Here is a 20,936-nt window from a genome sequence, read left to right as displayed (position 1 = left end):
TAGAGATAATCAGTGTCAATATTCTATGCATATATCATTTTATAGCCTGATTTTTTCACTGTATCAGTACACTATAAGCATATACAAGCATAATTTTAAGTGAGTATTAAATACTCCATCATGTGGTTATACCATAATTTATTTAACTGTTTCCCTAAGGATGACCTTTGGGTTATTTGCAGTAATCCTGTAATTTATTATGATGCTACCATCAAAATCTTGGTTCATGAATCCATGTCTTAGTGTTTGATAATTTTCTTCCTATTTCTGGTTGGCTTTTAGGGCTTTTGACTCATCTTGCCCTTTGTCTGCCAGAAAGTTTGCACCTTTGTATTTGAATTTGTCTGTCTTGCCACACCTGAACACCAGGTACTGTCATTTTTAAAGAAGTGCTAGTATGATAGGTAAAAAATGGTGCCTCATCACTTTAAGAAGCCATTATTTTAAAATAGAGGTTATACTTTTAATGCCCAGGCGTTTTTTTGCTCTGATCCTCATGAGAACAAGTGACGGAAGCTGGAAGTCCTGGGACCAGAACTGTGCTCTCTCCTGGTCTGTCTAGTTCTCAGACGTTCAGCAACATCACTGTTACTGGCTGTCCGCAGGTCCCCCACCCAGTCGTGGTGCCAGAGCAGACCCATGGGTGGGCTGCAGGCTCTGATTTCATTGGTGAGCTGCAGCCTTGCTGACTCACTGCTTTTCTTTCCACCTCTGACAGGAAGCTCCGTCTCCATGGGGCTCACTGACCCTTACAGAGGAGGCTTGCCTGGCTTCCCTTGTGGGAGGGTCTCAGTTTTTCTACCCTAGGTCATCTGCCTCAGAAGGGAGAGAGTGCTCGTCTCCTTCCTTTTTATTTGGGAGCGCCAGAGGTTTGTCGGCTTCAAGGCCAGGCCTGGCAGGTCACCACTAGGCGGATCATTTCAACTCCTTGTGGGGGCAGTTCTCAGGATTTCAACTAATAGCTTTTATTCCCTTCTCCGGGCAGTGATGTGGAAGCCTGAGAAACAGCTCTGGTGCCATCACGTGGTGGACATGAGCAATTGCAGCTCAGAGGTGGAACCAGACGGGAGTCAGGCTTCCAGCCTTTCTGTGCGATTCCACTGAATCCTTGCGCAGCAGCTGGACTCCAAGCTGAAGCTCTTCCCTCCCGCTACAAGCGACCCCTTAACATCTTAAGTCAGACAGGTGACAGGGATTTTGATTTCTTTTCTAGGGCTATTTAATCTCCGAGGATCAGATGTGGAGCACAATCCAGTATTTTTCTCCTACGCAATCATAGGACTAGAGACGATCATGTGAGTGTTTGCCCTGCATCTGGAACTCCCTTCCAGAGCTCCTCAGAGCCCTAGTGTGCCCTTTCTGGTCCTGGCCCACCCATCACTGCCTGATATTTCACTGATGTGCTTCTTTTTTCTTGCCCTTTTAACATTTTCCCTTCTTGTTTTCCTTAGCAGTAGGTGTTTATTTATATCCTGCCTCTCTTTGAGCCCCCAAAATGGTTTGAAACGCATGAAAGTGTCTATAGTTCGGGCCACCCATTTGATGTCAAGTTTTCTAGCAGCCAGTGTTAAGGGGTATATATGCTCAATTATACAATTCTGGGTCCACAATGCAAATAAACCCAGTCATTTTGAAGGTCAAAAATAATATGGGAAAACCCCTCCAACTACGCTTTGTTGAATTGTCAGTTTATTTTTTCAAAGCATTTCGTGTGGCCTTCTTTTCATTACTGTTCTATTTCAATAGCTTTTTGCATTAAGACAACACATTTATTAAGTGCTGGTGATGTGCTAAGGGTCTCTGTTAGGTGCTAGGGTGACTGAAACAGGACGGGGTCCTTGGCTGGAGTTGGGGAGATGAGCATGTCCTCTTTCTAAAGTATTTGGGCACATAAGTGGGCACCAGTCTGCTTGTGGGACAGATACAGGTGTTACGAGAGGGGCCTGACCTAGACTTGGAGATCAGAGCAGACTCTTGGGGAAAGTAATATTTTGAAGCAGAGAGTAAGGATAAATGTGGGTGAGTTAGGTGAATGGCAGGGTGAGGAGGGGCGGGGAACCATGATCCAAGCAGAGGGAACAGCATTTTCAGAGACTCTGGACAGTAGAGAGCACAGTGCATGTGGAGGACCTGAAGTGGTTCAGTGAGGTCAGAACATAGTGAGGCCAGAATGTGAGCAGGGGCCACAGAAAAGAGAGGCCTTGTGGGCCACATTCAGGAGCTTGGGTTCTTTTTCTGAACAAGAATAGTGGGAAGCTATTGAACGAATTTTTCAGAGGGAACCACATGTTAGATGTACAAGTTGTAAAGAATATTATGACTGAAACATCGGTAGATGGGGAAAGACTTAGAGGCTGTGGCACTAACCCAAGTGAGAGATGGTGGGACCTGAACCTGAGTGGTGACTGGGCGAGGCTGTAGATGAGCTGGACAGATTAGATGGAGATTTAGGCTGTGGGTCCCAAGGTCTTAATGAAGGACGGGAAGAGGGTCATCAGTGAAGGAGGACACTGCCCAGATTTCTGGCTTGGCAGATTGGGTGGATGGGGGCAGGGAATGCACCTTGGAGGGCAGGATTTGGGAAAGGAGTGGGGAGGAGAGAAAAGGGGCTTGGTTTTGGTTGCCAGGAAACAGAGCCTGATGTGTATGTGTGTCTGTGTTGCCACCTCTCACTCATGTTCCCTCCTTTTTCTGCCACCCACCTCTCCTCCATCTGCAGGCTCTTCATTGATGGTGACCGCATAGACGCCCCCAGTGTGAAGGAGCACCTGCTTCTTGACTTGGGTCTGGAAGCCGAATACAGGATCCAGGTGCATCCCTACAAGTCCATCCTGAGCGAGCTCAAGGCCCTGTGTGCTGACCTCTCCCCAAGGGAGAAGGTGTGGGTCAGTGACAAGGCCAGCTATGCTGTGAGCGAGACCATCCCCAAGGTTGGTGACCCCACTTTGGCCCATCTAAACTCTGCCACCCCCTTCCCAGTTCTGGTATTGTCTTTGGAGCACAGGCAGATTTCTGAGGCTGCCTGTTGGATCAGAACTGTGGTCTCCATGGATGAGGCCTTAAAGCTGGAGCCATAGCAAGAGCCTGAGGGCCCTTATTGCTTGTTGAGTCTTGTGTTTTCCAGAGTGTGGCATGAGAGATTATTTTAGGTGGTACACATTATTATTTAGGTTTGCTTAAATATATCTGTTTTAACAGCATTTAGCATATAATAGAAAAAACATAACTAGCATGAGTTCATGATATAATTATTTAAAATAAAGTTGAATTTAATAAAGCTGATTTAAAGATGGTCTAAAGTAAAGTACTAAGTGAATAAGGGTACAGCAGTTAAGAAGCTAGGGTAAAAGCTGTGCAGGTGGTATAAGAATGCTTGAAGCTTGGGAAATGCTTCTCTACCCCCTCCTTCTGCCGCACCACATTTTATAGCTAAGGACACTTGAGGCTCAGAGAGGATTGGGGAGTTGGGGATTTGGGGATTTGTCAAATTCAAGTGATAGTGATAGCCTTGCCCTTTACTGAGCCCTTGCTGGGCAGTGCTAAGCAGCTGACACTTGTTGCCTCATTTTCATTAGGGTCTGGGATGGGACTGGAATCCAGGCCTCTTTAGAGGTAGGCTTTTCTACTGTCCTCCCCTGGGCCTCTGGCTGCCAAGTGGCCTTTGGCAAGCCCAGTGATGTCCTTTCTTCTCCACTGAGCAGTGGGGCATCCTGGGAAGAATCCAGGCCTGGCTCTCTAGATCTGGCTTGCCATTGTACCCCTGCCATCATCACACACAGTGTGACTCCTCCTCTCTCTCTCTCCTCTCTCTCTGGAGAGAAAGAGAAAAGGAGATAAGATCACAAAAGCAATTTTAGAAGCTTTGTGCAAGTGCCAGGTGTGCTGAGGCCCCTCTGCTGGATTCTAACTTGTTCTCAAATTGGAAAGGGTCTTCTCCAGCCCTTCAAGATCAGATTATTATCAGTAGCTGAGATAGGACCACTGGGCGGGAAGGGAGGGAGCAGGAGACCTCACTCATCAGGTCATGTGCATGGCTAGACAGGGAGAAAAAGCCCCCTTTGTACAGCAAGAGAAGGGTGATTTCGGTCAAGCTTTCAGTGTTAGTGAACTCTAACCACAACCACAGTGGCTTGGAAAGCAATGTCTTGCTGACGGCAGGCAGCCAGCAGTCTCAAAGAGCTAAGGGAGTGAGGGATGGAAGAGAGACACCTTGTTTGATGTACTTACTCTTTTTGGTTGAGCTTAAGCTCAGGGTCATCAATCAAAAGGGACAGGTCGTTGGGGCCCCAGGGGATAGCTATATGGGTCGCCAGTGGGAGCTCTTCAAATGATTTGTCTAAAGTAAGTTTTGCTGAGCAAAAAGGTTGTTGCCTTGGTCTTGGGTGGGTGGAGCCGGTTTGATTTCCCACCCTACTGCCCTTTGCCTCTAGGACCACCGCTGCTGTATGCCTTACACCCCCATCTGCATCGCCAAAGCTGTGAAGAATTCAGCTGAGTCAGAAGGCATGAGGCGGGCTCACGTGAGTAGAGGAGCTGGTGCAGAAGATGGGATGTGAGGTGGTCAGAAGGCCCGGCTCCTTCACCTCCTCTGTGGCATTGAGCCTGGCACAAGGTTAGAATCTCTCTGAGCCTCAGCCTCCTGGCCTTCCAGGAGGAGTTATTGAGGGAATGAAATAAAATACTTGATGGATTAGATCTTTACAAAGTATAATACACAATACAAAAGGAGATATTGATGTTCACAGTGTAGATGATGGTGATGACGTGATGCTGATGAAGAAAGATTTTGGGCCCAGAGGTGGCTTTTGATAGTGGCCTGTTTTTTCCTGGCCCCTGTAGGGTTCTTAACCTTTAAGTTAACCTTTTGGAGGAGCTCCCTGTGCTCTGAGGTGGGGCCCTTCCTGATTGTACCTGAACTACTGAATAGCAGAGGAGCCTTTCCCTGATAATGGGAGTTGCTGCACACACCAGCTTCCCAGAAATGTCCACATGTAAAGCTCTGGTTGCTGATGATGTGTGGCCCTGCAGGTACAGCCTTCTCAGTATTGCATTAGGGCTAGGCTCTGAATCTGGTCACGTGATTTTCAGTGATAACTTAAAAAATGTCTCCATTGTTTGCACAGATTAAAGATGCTGTTGCTCTCTGTGAACTCTTTAACTGGCTGGAGAAAGAGGTTGGTTCTTAGTCTTTGTTTAATATGTGGATATACATTATTCAGACCTACCTATATGTGATTCTAACTCTAGCATCTCCCATGCTCTGCTGACCATGAGATCTGAGATCTTCATCAAATTTTTGGGCTCTATTTTAATAATTCTCTCTGGAAATTTGGTGTGTGTAGATTTCAAAATTCCTTAATTATGAAAATAGTAACAAGAATGAAGAAAAGTTCCATAATAGAGTGGATGCTTTTTGGGTTAGGGAATCATAACTAAGTGGAATTTCATTATAAGGAAAAATGAGTCTTATAATATTATTATAGGCAAGCTGATTGTATTAGGAGAAAAAGATCTTTGTGTACATTTTGAACTTCAGTTTAAGCCTTGAGCCTTTTTATATTAAATTGACTCTTGGCCATTAATTTCTTGCTCTAGTTGACAAGAGGGTGGTTTCTCTGTGGTGTTATTAAACAATATCATGTTCCCTTTAAGTATTGTATAAACAACTCTTTAATTGGGAAAAGAAAATATTGTCTTTATTCCCACTAGTGTAACTTTTTCCCTCATGTTTCCTTCTGGTGATTGTTCATCTATGTAAATTATTATTATTATTTTATTTTATTTTATTTTTTGAGACGGAGTCTCACTCTGTCACCCAGGCTGGAGTGCAGTGGTGTGATCTCGGCTCACTGCAACCTCTGCTGCCCAGGTTCAAGAGATTCTCCTGCCTTAGCCTCCCAAGTAGCTGGGATTATAGGCGCCTGCCACTGCGCCTGGCTAATTTTCGTAGTTGTAGTAGAGATGGGGTTTCACCATCTTGGCCAGGCTGGTCTTGAACTCCTGACCTTGTGATCCACCCACCTCGGCCTCCCAAAGTGCTGGGATTACAGGCATGAGCCACCATGCCTGGACTTTATGTAAATTATTATTATTACATTTTTATTATTTTTTTTTATTTTTGAGACAGAGCCTTGCTCCATCGCCCAGGCTGGAGTGCAGTGGAGCGATCTCGGCTCACTGCAAGCTCCGTCTCCTGGGTTCACGCCATTCTCCTGCCTCAGCCTCCCGACTAGCTGGGACTACAGGCGCCCGCCACCATGCTTGGCTAATTTTTTGTATTTTTAGTAGAGACGGGGTTTCACTGTGTTAGCCAGGATGGTCTCGATCTCCTGACCTTGTGATCCGCCCGCCTCGGCCTCCCAAAGTGCTGGGATTACAGGCGTGAGCCACCGTGCCTGGCCGTAAATTATTTTTAAAAATATAAATTATTTTTACATGTCTCTTAGTGTGCAGATAAATTTTTTTTCTTTTTTTTTTTCTTATTTTGAGATGGGGTCTCATCTGTTGCACAGGCTGGAGAGTAGTGGTGTGATCACAGCTCACTGCAGCCTCAGCCTCCCCAAGCTCAGGTGATCCTCCCACCTCAGCCTCCCGATTAGTTGGGACTACAGCCCACCTGATTTTTTCTGATTTTTTTGTAGAGATAAGGTTTTGCCATGTTGCCCAGGCTGATCTGAAACTCCTGGGCTCAAGCGATCCACCTATCTTGGCCTCCCAAAGTGCTAGGATTATAGGTGTGAGCCATCACACCTGGCTTAGATATGATTTTGTGTTTTATTTTATTCTCTTAGAATCATAGTGTGAACATTTTCCATGTACATTGAGGCCTTAAAAAAGGATCCAAATGAAAACTGCATCTAGTGGCTCTTCTGATTTACTAACCCAGTCCTCCTATTTTTAAATGTTTGGGTTGTTTTTAATTTTTTGCTGTTATCAGTAATCCTGCAATAATCTCTCCGCATTTATCTTTTTTATTTCTCTAGAATGATTTTCTTACGATGATTTCTTAGGAGGGGATGCTTTTGAATTTTTAAACTTAGATATGTTGTTTTGGGAGGTTTTAGGATAAAATACTGAAGCACAATAGTTGAGTGAAAAATTAAATGAATAGAAACTATTGGATTTTAGATAGCTTTGGTGAGAGCCTTTGGGAGTTCTCCCTTGCTAAAGATGTGTCCTGTAGATTGGTCAGTTGGGATGAAGCAATTGAGGAAAAAGTGAGCTTTTAATGTACCTCCTCTAATTTGTAAGAGGCACACATGAATTTATCTCACCAGATGATTTATAAGCAATTTTCTCATAGGTTCCCAAAGGTGGTGTGACAGAGATCTCAGCTGCTGACAAAGCTGAGGAGTTTCGCAGGTAAGGATCCATTTGGGGGGACCCAGGAGCCTCGTGCTGATTTTCTTGCTAGTTGAATGAGGCTGGAAGGGCCCTGAATCTTAGCACAGTAAAAACCTTTAAGCCACTCTGCTTTCTGTCTTTCTGTTACAGGCAACAGGCAGACTTTGTGGACCTGAGCTTCCCAACAATTTCCAGTACGGGACCCAACGGCGCCATCATTCACTACGCGTAAGGCATGCGGAGGAGCATGCTGCCTGGCCTTGCTGCTTCTGCACAGGAGCCTGAGCAGGGGAGAGACATTATTTTACCAGAGGCCTCTGTGCCCACCTTCATCTGTCTGTTGAGACTGTAAAATGAAGGGAAATAAGACTTCTAAGATTTTATTTTCTCCCAATCCCCAAGCCTCTGCCTTTTGGGAGCCTCTTCTTAGGCTCAGTATGGCACTGGCATTCTCTGCAGGGTAGTCAGATGGGTGTCCCTCTTTCCTTTTTGAAGCTGCAGGAACTGTATGCATAGCCCTTGCATCTTGATGACTAAGTTTTTTTTTTTTTGGAGACAAGGTCTTGCTCTGCTGCCCAGGCTGGAGCGCAGTGGTGCCATCACAACTCACTGCAACTTTGAACTCCTAGACTCAAGCAATCCTCCTGCCTCAGCCTCCTGAGTAGCTGGGACTATAGGCATGTGCTACCACTCCTGGCTAATTTTTAGATTTTTTTGTAGAGATGAGGATCTTGATGTGTTGCCCAGGCTTGTCTCGAATTTCTGGACTCAAGCAATCCTCCTGCCTCAGCCTCCTAAAGTGCTGGAATTACAGGTGTGAGCCACTGTGCTTGGCCCATGACTGGAATTTTTGAGTAGTTTTCTTTCTTGGTAACAGCAGCTGTTTTGTACTAGTCCATACATCTTGTGAGCTCCATCAGTTCCATACCAAAAAAAAACTTAGTAGTAGGTTGTGAGGCAACCTGTTTTGGGTGGAGAGATAATCAGTACCCTCTCTTCCTGTCCCCCTGAGCCTGAAGCCTGGCATCCCAGTATGTGGTTTTTTTACCACGTGGTCTACAAGAACCCATGGACCCACAGGGCCGAGCCTCCCTTCCTTGTGAGACAGAGGGGCACTGATATGTCTAGGACTGACAGATCTTCCTGTGGAGATGGGGGGAAATGTCATTAGGTGTGGCCATTGGGCTTCAGCCTCAGCTCTGCCTGGTTCAAACCGCTTTGCTTTGCACTGGGTATTTTGAGTTCTGTGCATCCCCATCTGTTACATGCACAGCCAACAAAAGAACACTGTGCTTGGGCACACACTTTTTTCCCCCTTTTAATAATTGTTTTTAGAGCTTTTAGTCTTGGGGCAGATTTTGAAGCTGTGTGTGGGAGACAGTCACAGATGGGACAGTACAGTTTCCTCACTTAATGCTTCTGTTCCAGCATAAAAATATCAGAGGGACTTCAGTTTTTGTTTAACTCAGGATGAATTTCCTGGCTGGATACTATCCTAGAATTTTCCGTATAATTAAAACATTAAACAGTTTCATGCCAGTGGAAGAAATTTGCCTCTGCGTTGGCATTTCTTCATTGTGGGTGGTTGGAAGCCTGTTTAGAGGCGGGGTTCTGGAGGTACTGGTTGTCTTTTTTAGTTGTTCAGCTTGTGTGTGGACTGGTGCCCTTATTGCTGAAGAGGGGGTGGTACCTGGAAATGGAGGACAACCTCACTTCAGCTGCAGGGCAGAGACTTGGAGTGCTCTCATCCCTTTGGGTGTTTCCCAGTGCAGTGATATTGTTTTGAAAACGGTGTGGGGAAAGAGATCACTTTTTGAAAATACCTCATGTTTGTTTGAAGCAGAAGAATATCGTGATCCATTCCTTTTCCCAGCAAAATTCCTTTAGTTTTTCTCCCAAGTTGAGACATCCACTCCTGCCTGTCTAGCAGTCTGGGGAGCGAGTGGGGAGGTACCTGCTGGGGTCAGGGCTGAAGGAGGGGCCTGGAGGCTGAGGCAGGGGCCTGGGGCTCCCAGAGACAAGCAAGGCTGCAGTGACTCCAGGCTGCTCCTGTCCCAGTTCCCAGGACTCTAGCTAGGTCCTGTTGCATCTAATCGTTCTCATTTTTTTAGCTTTTAGAATTATCTCTTGAACACCTATTTTGTTTCAGACACAAACAGAGGTAGACATAAAGAAATGTGTTACTTTTCCTTTGTTGAGCTCTTTATCTCAGCTGGGGAGATAGGTTGATTGGATCTTTGAAAAGTAGAAGTTTAATATTAGTTGAAATAATTCATTATTGCATAACTTTCTATTTTGATATAATTTCAGGCTTATGTAAGTTGCAAGAATAGTACAAAGAGCTCTTGTGTGTCCTCCTCCCAGATTCACTAAGTGTTTACATTTGTGGAATAATTAATTTTTAATTAACTTTGTTAGGCCAGTCCCTGAGACGAATAGGACCTTGTCCCTGGATGAGGTGTACCTTATTGACTCGGGTGCTCAATACAAGTAAGTAAACCAGGACTGCTGTGGAACTTGACTATGGATTCGAGGCAGTGGAGAAGGTGGACAGCTGAGCTCCAGCTGAGAGCACTCAGCTGGTCATCGCCCTCTGTGCTGGCCACTAATGGAATCGTTCCTGTGTCTTGTCATTTTTTTCACCCCTATTTGAAATAGCCCAGTTGTGACTCTGTTCTCACAAAAGACTGTTTGATAGAAATGTTACAGTCCTTGGCTGGAAGTTTTAAAAATATAAGTAAACAACTGTGAAGTAAAGCAAGCTTTTGGAACCGTTGAAAGTTTTCCACCCCAGCCCATGAACCGCCTGCCGGTTCCCTGTACTCTCAGCTGCCCCAGGGCCTTATGAAGTAAGGGATTAATTTTGAATGAATAAATGAGAAATGAGGGCTGCCCCCACATTTCTGAATTTCTTTCTCCATGTTTTGCTGCTTTCACGGCTATCATCTCTGGAACAAAGTTTCTCAGAGAAGAACCCAAGATTTGGTTGGGTCTTGATACGGAACCCAAAAGAAGGAGTAAGAATAGACCCTGTCTGCATTAAGAGGGCACGAGCAAGGCCTTTTTTTTGAGACAGAGTCTCACTCTGTAGCCCAGGCAGGAGTGCAGTGGCGTGATCTCGGCTCACTGCAAGCTCTGCCTCCTGGGTTGCAGCCATTCTCCTGCCTCAGCCTCCCAAGTAGCTGGGACTACAGGTGCCCGCCACCACGCCCGGCTAATTTTTTGTATTTTTAGTGGAGACGGGGTTTCACCATGTTAGCCAGGATGGTCTCGATCTCCTGACCTCGTGATCCGCCGGTCTCGGCCTCCCAAAGTGCTGGGATTACAGGCGTGAGCCACTGTGCCCAGCCGAGCAAGACCTTTTAGTGCTGCTCCATTCCCCACTGAAGTTGGGACTATGGCTAAGGGAGGACCTAATTATTGAATGAGCTCAGCCAATTACGTGGCAACCATGCCTGGCCTTGGGACACAGGGGTGTTAATAATATCAGCCTAGAGCTAAGGATTGCTTGATAATGGTGTAAACTTTTCTTCACTTCTAAATTTTTAGCAGGATTCTAGAAGTTATCCTTTCTATGTCAGGGATATAGTCTAGTGTGTGTTAAGATATGTACTTGGATATTTTTAGGGTCTCTGTCCAGGAAACCCCCTGCTGTTCTAACAGGAGAAGTTGGGTTTTGGCCCTCTTTTGCTAGAGATGGGCTCCTGTTTTCTTTGCCTTCTTCTGTCTTGTTCATAACCCCAGTGATAGTGTCTCTCGTGAAACAGCCCTTATGCTGTAGACCAAGAATGCGTGTGTCAGGGGCTGACGTCACTCCCAGTTTATTTAGCCATCCCTGCATTCACACTTTGTTTCATTTTTTAAAATAACTTCATTGGGGTAAAATTTATGTACCATGTAATTCACCCACTTAAAATATACAATTAATTTTTTTTATATATTCACAGAGTTTTGCAGCCATCAGCACAATCAATTTTAGAACATTTTCATTACCCCAAAAAGAAACCTCATACCCAATAGCGGTCACTACCCCCTTTTCCACTACCCTGGAGAACCACTACTCTCCTTTCTGTATCTATGGATTTGCCTATTTTGGACCCTTCATAGAAATAGAATTGTATTATGTATGGCTTTCTGTGTCTGGCTTCTGTCATTTAGCACAATGTCTTCCAGGTTCATCCATGTTGCAGCATGTATCAGTATTCCATTTCTTTTTAATTACTGAATGGTATTGCACTGTGTGGATAATCCCCCATTTTGTTTATCCATTCATCAGTTGATGGACATTTCAGCTGTTTCCATCTTCTGGCTATTATGAATAATGTGGCTGTGAACCTTCATGTACAAGTTTTTGTGTGGATGTATGTTTTCAGTTCTCTTGGATATATAACTAGGAGTGGAATTACTGGGTCATATGGTGACTATATTTAACCTTTTAAGGAACTGCGAACTATTTGCAAAGATGGCTGTGCTATTTTACATGCCCACCAGCATTGTATGGGGCTTCTCACTTGTCCACATGCTTGCCTGTGTCATATTTGACTTAAAGCTTATTTTGACGGGAAACCAATTTGTCCTTTTTTTGGAAAGGGATGGCACCACAGATGTGACGCGGACAATGCATTTTGGGACCCCTACAGCCTACGAGAAGGTAAGGTGGAGGTAAAAAACTCAAGAGGTCCTCTCTGCTTTCTTAAGAAGAGCATTGCTTTTATGAAAAGGGATTGTATAAAGAAGTAAAAATTACATGTGGGGTAGTAAAATTGCTCCTTGCTGTGGAGTCAGGCTTATCTGCTTTACGAGGTTCATTTAACTAATTATTGGAATAAGACATTTGGAGAAATTTTTAAAGCATTCTGCTAAGGTTAGGGCAGCTCAGGTGTAAGTTTAAATATAATAGCTTTGGCCTTCTCTTGAGTCAGGAAATGCCTTTGAGGCTGGGGATGAGAGAGTGAAATACATGCTTTATAAGCAGTGCCTAGATTTGATTTTGAAGGCCACCCCCTTCTTTTTTTGAGATTCTTATTTACAGGCTTAACTCTCTGGAAACTTTCTGAAATGACAGACTCTATTAAGTTTCTGGTATGATTGGCATGGAAAGGGGAAAGAGAGCTGTGAGGCAGAGAGATGTGTACTAGGGGTCTGGAGACCTGGCTTCAGAGCTTCTGTGCCATTTACTAGCTCTGTGACGTTGAACAAAGCAGTCACCATCCATAAAAATGAGGATAAAAGGACCCACCTTCCCGGGTGGCTGTGAATTCCCATGAGCCCAGCAAGTTCCTGGATCATAGTCACTGCTCAGCAAATGCTGATTGAGCACCTAAGTGAATCTGTTTGTCCAAGAGAGCTCCTTCAGGAAGATTATCCAAGGAAAAGGGTTTTATGCAATGTAGTGGGGCAGGTTTCATTGTCTTGGTCCCTTGCCTTTTCCATTTGTATTCACCAGTGCCTTAGAAGAATTTGGACCTTGCGTCTAGGATTCTTTTGGTGTGACTCTTTTTGTGCTTTTCAAAGAGCTCAACCAGGCTGAGGAGCATGGAGTTTTAGTCCTGACTCTGCACCTTACTGGCAAGCTGCTACACTTCTGAGTAGCACTTCTCTTGTCCGGACAGTGGGGATAACCCCTGAAGATAGGATGGTGGTAGGGAGCACAGCTGTTGAAGCAAGAGTGCCTGGCTCCAAGGCCAGATGCTGCCACTTAGGCACTGTGTGATCTGGGCATGCTACTGAATCTCTCTGTGAAGCGAGGATAACAGTAGTGCCTCCATCGTGAAGTGTGGGATCAAACATACAGTGCTTAGAATAGTGCGTGGCACAGAGGATAGCTCAGTAATGTTAGCTAGGGTCATCAGTACTTTTTATTACTTTTCCATTCTTTCTAAGGCTCACATGATGGAGTATGTCAGAGTGTTCATTATAAAGTCATGTGGGGTCATCTCTCTGACAGTGCTCTTCTACTAAATTGAATTTCAAGATTTTCTGGGAAATTGGTCCCGTGGCCAGGCTTTTTTTCCACCAGATTTTTTTCTTTTTACTTACATTTTCTCTATGATATTGCTAAAAACTTTAGCAGGCAGGATTTTCTGAACTACCAGAAAACTACAGGATTAGACATCTGTCCCCATTCTGCAACATGCCCCTGGGTTTTCTTTGCAGGAATGCTTCACATATGTCCTCAAGGGCCACATAGCTGTGAGTGCAGCCGTTTTCCCGACTGGAACCAAAGGTAGGTGGTGCATTCTGTCACATGGCAGGCTCTTTTTCTTGTTTGAGAATCAAATATGTCTATGTTTGAGTGAAAGAACATGTCGTTCCTTCACTGTGAGGTCCCCATCCCACTTCAGGCCCAGCCAGGTGCTCATGGGGTGAGTCTCCATAACCCACTGACTGAGCCCAGAGGCCTCAGGGAGCCGGGTTAGGATTGGGCCCAGTACCCCCTGTGCACCATTCTCCTGACCACTTATGGTATTGGATGACACATGTGGATGGCTCCCAGGAGAGGACAAACCAGATATGAAGGTCACAGGGCCTGAGTGGAAGTTGGTGCAGCCTCCTGTCTGCCCTTTAGTACTGGGCCAGTGCTTCCTTTCGGGATTCTTAGGATTTATTTTACTGGGACCCTGACTTCAGCTATGTACTACTTTGCTTGAGGCCTGGTGGGTGGAGCATTGGACTGGGCATTGACAAGACCTGGGCTGCCTTGCTTTTGGGTAGATTAGACATGTACTCATCTCCCTAGGCCTCAGTTTCCTCATCTGTCATGCCTGCCTGTCTGCTTGCAGTCTGGTTAGAGTCTCATCTTTGTAATTCTGAAACCTTAGGGTCGCAGAGCTGGCAAGGGAACGTCCATGTCTGATACGGCCTCTGTGTGCTGTAGGTGTCTATCCCCGCTCACCAGCATCCTGAATGGATGATCGCCTAGCTTCAGACTGAGCTCTGATGGTTTCTCAGGAGCTCTGATTGTTAGAAAGTTCTTCCTTGTGCTGTGCTGAAATCTGAACCCTCCAGTAACTTACCTATTGGTTTCTGTTTCACGTTCTGGAGCCACACATAATAAATTTAATCTCTAAAGCGCTGTACAAATACAATTAAGTGGCTCTTTATGTCTTTCAGGTCACCTTCTTGACTCCTTTGCCCGTTCAGCTTTATGGGATTCAGGCCTAGATTACTTGCACGGGACTGGACATGGTGTTGGGTCTTTTTTGAATGTCCATGAGGGTCCTTGCGGCATCAGTTACAAAACATTCTCTGATGAGCCCTTGGAGGCAGGCATGATTGTCACTGATGGTAAGTGTCCCTCACATAGAGGGCATGCGTGGATCCTTGAGCCTTTTTGAAAGCTATTCGTTGTTTTGTATTTTTTAATTAGTTTAAAGTAAATTGGCAATACTTTTCCCTTCCAACAAACTTTTCTGATTATAGAACTGATACATGTTCATTTTAGAAAAAATGAGATGGGAACTGTGTAAAAAGAAAATGAAAATCATTTGCAATCTAACCACTCAGGGGAAACATGACTTAGTGTTTTACTGTATTAGCTTTTGGTCTTTCAGGTATGTAGATAGCATTTTTTTTTTAAATCATTGAGATCTTACTGGGCATCTTGTCTTATGTTCTGCTTTCTTACTTGATACATTGCCTTTTCTCAGGTCATTGCCAAGTCTTTGTAAATATATTTTAATGCCTTCATTATTGTGTCTTACGGATGTGAACCATGATTTATTTAGTGGATCCACTGTTACTTTACTCCTTACCCTGTAGCCAGTGTGCAGGGACTTCAGAGTCTAGCTTTCTGCACCTCAAGTGCCTATAAAAAAGTGGCCATATGAGAGAAGGTGGCATCTCTAGGCTCTTACACCAGATAGAGTGGGCTCTTCACCCGTTTCTTCTCCTTTGGAGTAGGGCAGTCATCCAAGGAGTGAAAGTTTCTCTCTGTAGACATCTTCATCGTGGGCTGCTTCTCATTTTTGGGATTTGGTTTGTTTTAGAGCCCGGGTACTATGAAGATGGGGCTTTTGGAATTCGCATTGAGAATGTTGTCCTTGTGGTTCCTGTGAAGACCAAGGTGAGGATTTATTAAAAAAATTTTCCTGTTTCTATTAGCAATAATCACGCCTCGGATAGACCTCATTGGCTACAATACTGCCACTGCGCAAAGCTTAAAAATTTTCCTGTTTCTTAGTGTGGGAAGATGAAGACTTAATGTCTTTGGAGCCAAGAGTATGCCATTCTGGGGCCAACATGGAGCCTTCTTCTCCAGATATCAGGGACTTTCCTGGAAACCACACTCCTTCCCTGCAAAGCCAGAAAGAAAATCCTTAATGAACTGGGATCTAGAACTGGGATTCACAGACCCTCAGGCTGATGCTTGCTTCACATGATTTGGGGCTCTGAGTTTACTATAGGCGGCCTGTTGTCTCTTCTGCTAGGGGTGCCTATTCAAGGCGCTAATTTCCAGGGCCCCTCCCAGACCCTAGAATTTCCAGGGTGGGGGGCCTGGAAGCTGTAATTTTGTCACACTCCCCAGGTGACTTTTATTAGGTAAAGTTGAGGAACCCTGAGTTATCCATGGGTCAGCCTCAAAGGCAATACAAGACAGGTGTTTCACCCTCTTCCCCCATCAGTGTTACCAAGGTTGCAGGGTTTTAGGCTCTAGGCTTTACCTAAAAGACCTGTTTGTGCCTCCTCCATTGGTGGAATTGAACAATTGGAGGGAAGTAGCTTCCTGTGTCTACAAGGAGGTTAACTGCGGGGATCTGCTCTCTGCTTTGGCATGGAAGTCACTATTCTTGGAAGTGACCTCCCATCTTATTCCCAAAAGCTGCCATGAACAGAAACCCGACATGTTCTTGTGTGCTCCAGTGGATAGATGTGTTGTCGCCTGATGGGCCTGGCTGGGTCAAGGCAGACCACACAGTTGACTGTTATAAAAATGATTTTGAGGACTTACACCCCTGCATCCTGGAGAACCAAAACCAGAGATGCCCCTAAGCCCAGATACCCCCATATCCTGCCCCTGTTTCCTATCACAGTAGACATTAGCCTTGGGACCTGTTGCTGGGAGCCCCTCAGCACCCTTTGTTTGGCCTTTCCTGATGGCACAGGCCATTGTTTGCCCAGTGGAGGAGCTCTTGGAAAATGGCATCAGGTTCCTTGTGTGTCTGTGAAAAGTGGTGACCAGCTCACCACTTCTTGGCTCCCAGTTACCCCTGGCTCTGAGGGATGGCATGCTGGTGGAATGACCTCATGGTGCTTCAGCATAGTAAAGAGGAGTAAAAGCATCTGTTTTCTTCTTTCTCCCGCAGTATAATTTTAATAACCGGGGAAGCCTGACCTTTGAACCTCTAACATTGGTTCCAATTCAGACCAAAATGATAGATGTGGATTCTCTTACAGACAAAGAGGTAATGGGGAAGTCTTGGTGGGCAGGCATGTTACTAGGGGAGGTGGAGACTACCTTAAATAGTTCTAATCCATCCTCTAAATCCTAAATTCTCTAATCCAGTCTCACTTTGTAATTTTTAAATTTAGAGGTCTAGGCCAGTTGAGTCTGAAAGCCCTAGGTTTTCTGAGGACTCCTGAGCTTTTCCTGTATTTGTTGGGCCTCCAGGTGGAGATAGTCCTGTTTCCCGCAGCCATTCTGGGGCTGTAGGGTTTGTGGGTGGAACTCGTATGCCATTGTTTGGCTGTACTATTCCTCCATAGCTGCAGTGAGGCGTGTTTAGCAAATATGAGCCTATGTGTGTCCCTACAAAAAGCCAGATGGATGGTGGGGCCTCTTGGCCACTGTACATACCAGATTGTTTTCTTGTGTTACATGAAACATTAAGGAAATGGAAAGCAAAATCTATTATCGTATGTCCTGTTTTCACACAGACAAGGAGAAAGATAGTACCAGCCCTTCTCGGTTACTACTGTGGTCACTCTGGGGCAGTGAAACCCTTCACAAAGCCTGGGGCACAACAGTGCTTACTTGCCCAGCTCAGAGGGTTATGGGTCTTAACTCCTTCAGACCCTGGACTGGTAAGGCCAGGTCAGATGGCAGTCCTGGGGACATGAGAAAGGCCTGAAGAATCACACAGATGTTCAAGGTCAGAGCAGAAACAAGGGTCAGAAATGGGGTAGGAACTGTTAGCACTAGACAGACAAAACAGTTCCCAAACCAGGAAGCTGGAAGCCAGGAGGACACAAATTCCAGAGCAAGGCAGGGGTCAGAAGTTCCAATGAAAAGCAAATGACTGGTGGGAGCCGAAGGCAGGGTAAGCACGGTGGGTTACTCTCGGAATAAGAATATTTTGTTATCTGAGGCAGCCAATGGCCTTTGAGTGCCTCTCAAGGCAGGAACATTTCCTCACTGGCGCCCACTTGGGCCTCGTTCTTGACACTGTAAAGGAAAGGGTCTTTGGGGGTTAAGGACCTTCCCTTCCACAGGAGCTGTGGAATGGGATTCTCCCAGCTAGAAGCCTCTTCTGCCTGTTCCAGTTCACAGGTGGGTGATGAGAAAGTCCATCCACTTCCTGCTTAGCTTTCCTCTGTGCTTGAGCGCCTCTGCTTAACCATCCGTGCCCTTGGTTCAGCTAAACATTCCCACTCACAGGACCCACATGGGCCTTGCTGATACCGGGTGGGTTATGCAGCTTGTAGATGGATATGGAAAAGGAAACTCAGCCTATCAGCACAATGTCTGGTGTGTCTCTTCAGCAGGAAGAGTCCTTCCAGTGTCCAGGGGCTCTTGTCCAGCCCCTGTAAGTGTTGCCTTAGCTGAGAGGAAATGAAAACACATAGGTGGGCATGGGACCCACCCTGCTTAGAATCCCTCTGCCCCATAGGAACCAGTGTCTCTTGTAATGGCCCTTGGGCACAGCTTCCAGGGACTTAGCAAGGGGCTTTCCAGTAATAAGTCATTTCGCACTCTTGGAAGTCCAAGGCTATGGATTCCTGCCAAGTAATTCTAGGTCATGCAGTCCTTCCTGTCCACATAAAGTGTACCCATCAGGAGGCATTTCTCCCATATGACATTCCCCTTTATCCAGGGAAGTAGTATATGAGGAAGTTTAAGCCAGGCCATTTTTCCTCGAAGGAGAATCAGTCTACTCCCGTGACATTGGACATAGACCAGGGATCTGTGTTACCCAGTGTTTCATTGCTGCACCTTGCATGCCCACATGATTGAACTATTCTTTCGGCCAGTTACTCTTTGTAGGGCAGATAATGTCTTCTTAAAATATCTGGCTTTTAAAATATCTGGTCATTTGCCCTTTACTATTTAGCCTTTATTTTGGAGTCACTTTAGGGAGTTTTTGGTTTGGGTCTGCATCGTCATCACTTATCACCAGATGGCAGCAAAGGACCTTGGTCAGATATGAATATGGCCAGCTGCAGACTGTCAGGGCCTTGTGCTGCTCCTCAGGCTCCACCGAGGCTGTCCACACTCCCACTTTTCCCTCCCTACTTCCAACCAAAAGGGCCATGGGCGTTTGGCTGTGGCCCCAGGCTTACACCAGGATGCTGCCGTTGCCTTACTGTTGAGCTGCTTTGGACAGTAGGCTGCTTTGTAGCCCTGCTGGCCTTGCTGTGGACACATAGCAGTTTGCCTGCTTTTGACATCCTCCCCTGCCCCCATCACTTCCCTGACTCCCAGAAGGGGCTACTAGGCTCTTCTCAGTAGGGATTGGAACCCTGGCTGGGTCACAGCCAGTTGGTAACACCACCCTATCTGTCTGCCCTCAGTCCCTTGTAATTAATGGGTTTGTGTGCCCATCCTGACCCCAGCTGGGCTTTGGTACCTGGCTGGATTGTAGTCCCTGAAAGCAGTACTTCTGTAACATCGCTGCCCTCCAAAATGGCCTTTGACTCATTTATGACAAGCACAGCCATGGCACTATCAGTCTCATCAGCTTCCAGACAGCTACCCCCATAGACAGTGATGAGAGTGGCTTGTTGTCCTCTTGGTAAAACCTGCTTCACTCCAGACTTCACCTTTTCCCGTATACAACCAAGGAGGAGAGTTCACCCTTTTTCCTGCCTCAGAGCTTTTGCCATCATGTCTAGTGGATCAGCCCCTGCCCAGGCACCAAGTCCTGCCAGCAGGTCCTTCCTTTCACTCTCTTTTTTGTCTCCTGCTCTTGTGGCATGTTGAGTTGAGAGTCTGAAAACTAAGTTTACTCCCAGCGCCATTCTGCTGCACCACAGTCTTTAACCACCGCAGGTTTTGGGTTCATCTAGGCAGCTACACTCAAAAGACACCCATGGGCTTGGCTGATCCTAGTTTTTTATTCAGCTTTTTCAGTGGATATAGGATATGTAGCCCAGTGTGTTGGCAGGACAGCTTCGAGTGTCTCTCTCAGCAGGAGTTCTCACAGAGTCCGGGGCTATTCCCCCACTTACCACCTCCCAGGATGGCTCAGGTTTAAGGGAATGAAGCCACACAGGTGGGAGCAGGAGCTACTGGCTTAGAGACTGCTGTCTATAATAGTAAACTGTTCTGGGAGCCTTTTCACCAGAAGCCATGAAGTCTGGTCCTATGTATTTCCGGGGAAACAGAACACAAGGAAAATACTTACCTGTGAGTAAGGAGAAAGGGTGTTGCACACCTTTTCTCTCAGCTTGTGATCTTAGCACATGGGGGCCTTTGCTGTTGACCTGTGTAGCCAGTTGTTAAAGATGTAGTGGTGAATACCGTGTCTGTCCTTCTCTTCCCTGCAGTGCGACTGGCTCAACAATTACCACCTGACCTGCAGGGATGTGATTGGGAAGGAATTGCAGAAACAGGGCCGCCAGGAAGCTCTCGAGTGGCTCATCAGAGAGACGCAACCCATCTCCAAACAGCATTAATAAATACCTCCCCGGTTTTGTTTTTGTAAAATGCTCTGGAGGAAGGAAGAAACGTGGCAGATCCCTGACATCTTTCCCCTTTCCTTTCCTTCTTCCCTACCTCCCCTTTTTACTTTAGACTTTAAGAAGAACAGAAAATCTTCTTATCCTCTTTGATATTTTATTGCAAACACTCAGTCTTTTATGATTTTTTAATTGTTGAGAACAAGCCAAGAATAAAATTGCTGCACCAGAAGGAGGGTCCCTCCAAAGTTGAACACTTGGTGAAAGGAAGATGCCCCGACTTCTTTGGCCAGTGATGGGGAATCAGTGAGTGCTCCATGATGGTCATGTTCCAGGTGCTAGTACATCATTCATGATCACCTTAATGCTCATGAGACTATATTTATGATCAGTGAATAAAAATGTCAGAACTGTGCTTTGTCTTAGCTGTCTCTTTCTTCATGGTGCTGTCCCCCGGCATGTCGGGTGAGCTGATCTCCAGGGCTGCTGGCTCTGTGGCAGACATTTCCTAGGTGGAAGGGCCCCTTTGAGAAGAGACCCCTGGCCTCCCCGCACATTTGGGGGCTTAGTTGTAAGCTTTTTCTTTTCTCTAGAAAACCTAATATTATGGTGTTTTTATCTCAGTTTTTTTTCCTGATTTTAAAATATGTCATTCCTATGCAAAAAACAATAAAAATTATGTCAAAAGTCAGTTTTCCATAACTCACCCTATAGCAGATGCCACAAGTGTCTTACCTACATGGCCACAGCTCTCA

General features: G+C 45.7%; 1 protein-coding gene and 1 pseudogene across 13 annotated transcripts in view; one reads left to right on the top strand and one right to left on the bottom strand.

Annotated features, from left to right (window-relative positions):
• XPNPEP1 (X-prolyl aminopeptidase 1) overlaps positions 1–20,596 on the top strand; it is a 58,746-nt gene extending 38,150 nt beyond the window's left edge. For 7 of the 13 annotated variants that reach the window (NM_001324128.2, NM_001324132.2, NM_001324134.2 and 4 more), the window contains 13 exons: positions 1,214–1,295; positions 2,720–2,930; positions 4,431–4,520; positions 5,124–5,174; positions 7,304–7,362; positions 7,495–7,572; positions 9,763–9,834; positions 11,935–11,995; positions 13,501–13,570; positions 14,458–14,631; positions 15,333–15,409; positions 16,650–16,748; positions 20,050–20,596. In NM_001324128.2, coding sequence (NP_001311057.1) covers positions 1,214–1,295; positions 2,720–2,930; positions 4,431–4,520; positions 5,124–5,174; positions 7,304–7,362; positions 7,495–7,572; positions 9,763–9,834; positions 11,935–11,995; positions 13,501–13,570; positions 14,458–14,631; positions 15,333–15,409; positions 16,650–16,748; positions 20,050–20,178 — 1,253 coding nt within the window. In that variant the 3' untranslated portion in view covers positions 20,179–20,596. Of the gene's footprint in view, positions 1–1,213; positions 1,296–2,719; positions 2,931–4,430; positions 4,521–5,123; positions 5,175–7,303; positions 7,363–7,494; positions 7,573–9,762; positions 9,835–11,934; positions 11,996–13,500; positions 13,571–14,457; positions 14,632–15,332; positions 15,410–16,649; positions 16,749–17,775; positions 17,834–20,049 lie in introns of all 13 variants that reach the window. The other 6 variants (NM_001324135.2, NM_001324131.2, NM_001324133.2 and 3 more) reach the window with 5 other exon arrangements.
• Positions 15,354–15,556, bottom strand: RNU4-5P (RNA, U4 small nuclear 5, pseudogene; annotated as a pseudogene).
• Positions 20,597–20,936: the final 340 nt, after the last annotated feature.

Source organism: Homo sapiens, chromosome 10 (genome assembly GCF_000001405.40).
Source record: "Homo sapiens chromosome 10, GRCh38.p14 Primary Assembly".
NCBI lineage: Eukaryota > Metazoa > Chordata > Mammalia > Primates > Hominidae > Homo > Homo sapiens.
Note: the sequence above shows the minus strand (reverse complement) of the source record. Positions and strands in the feature narration are given on the sequence as shown.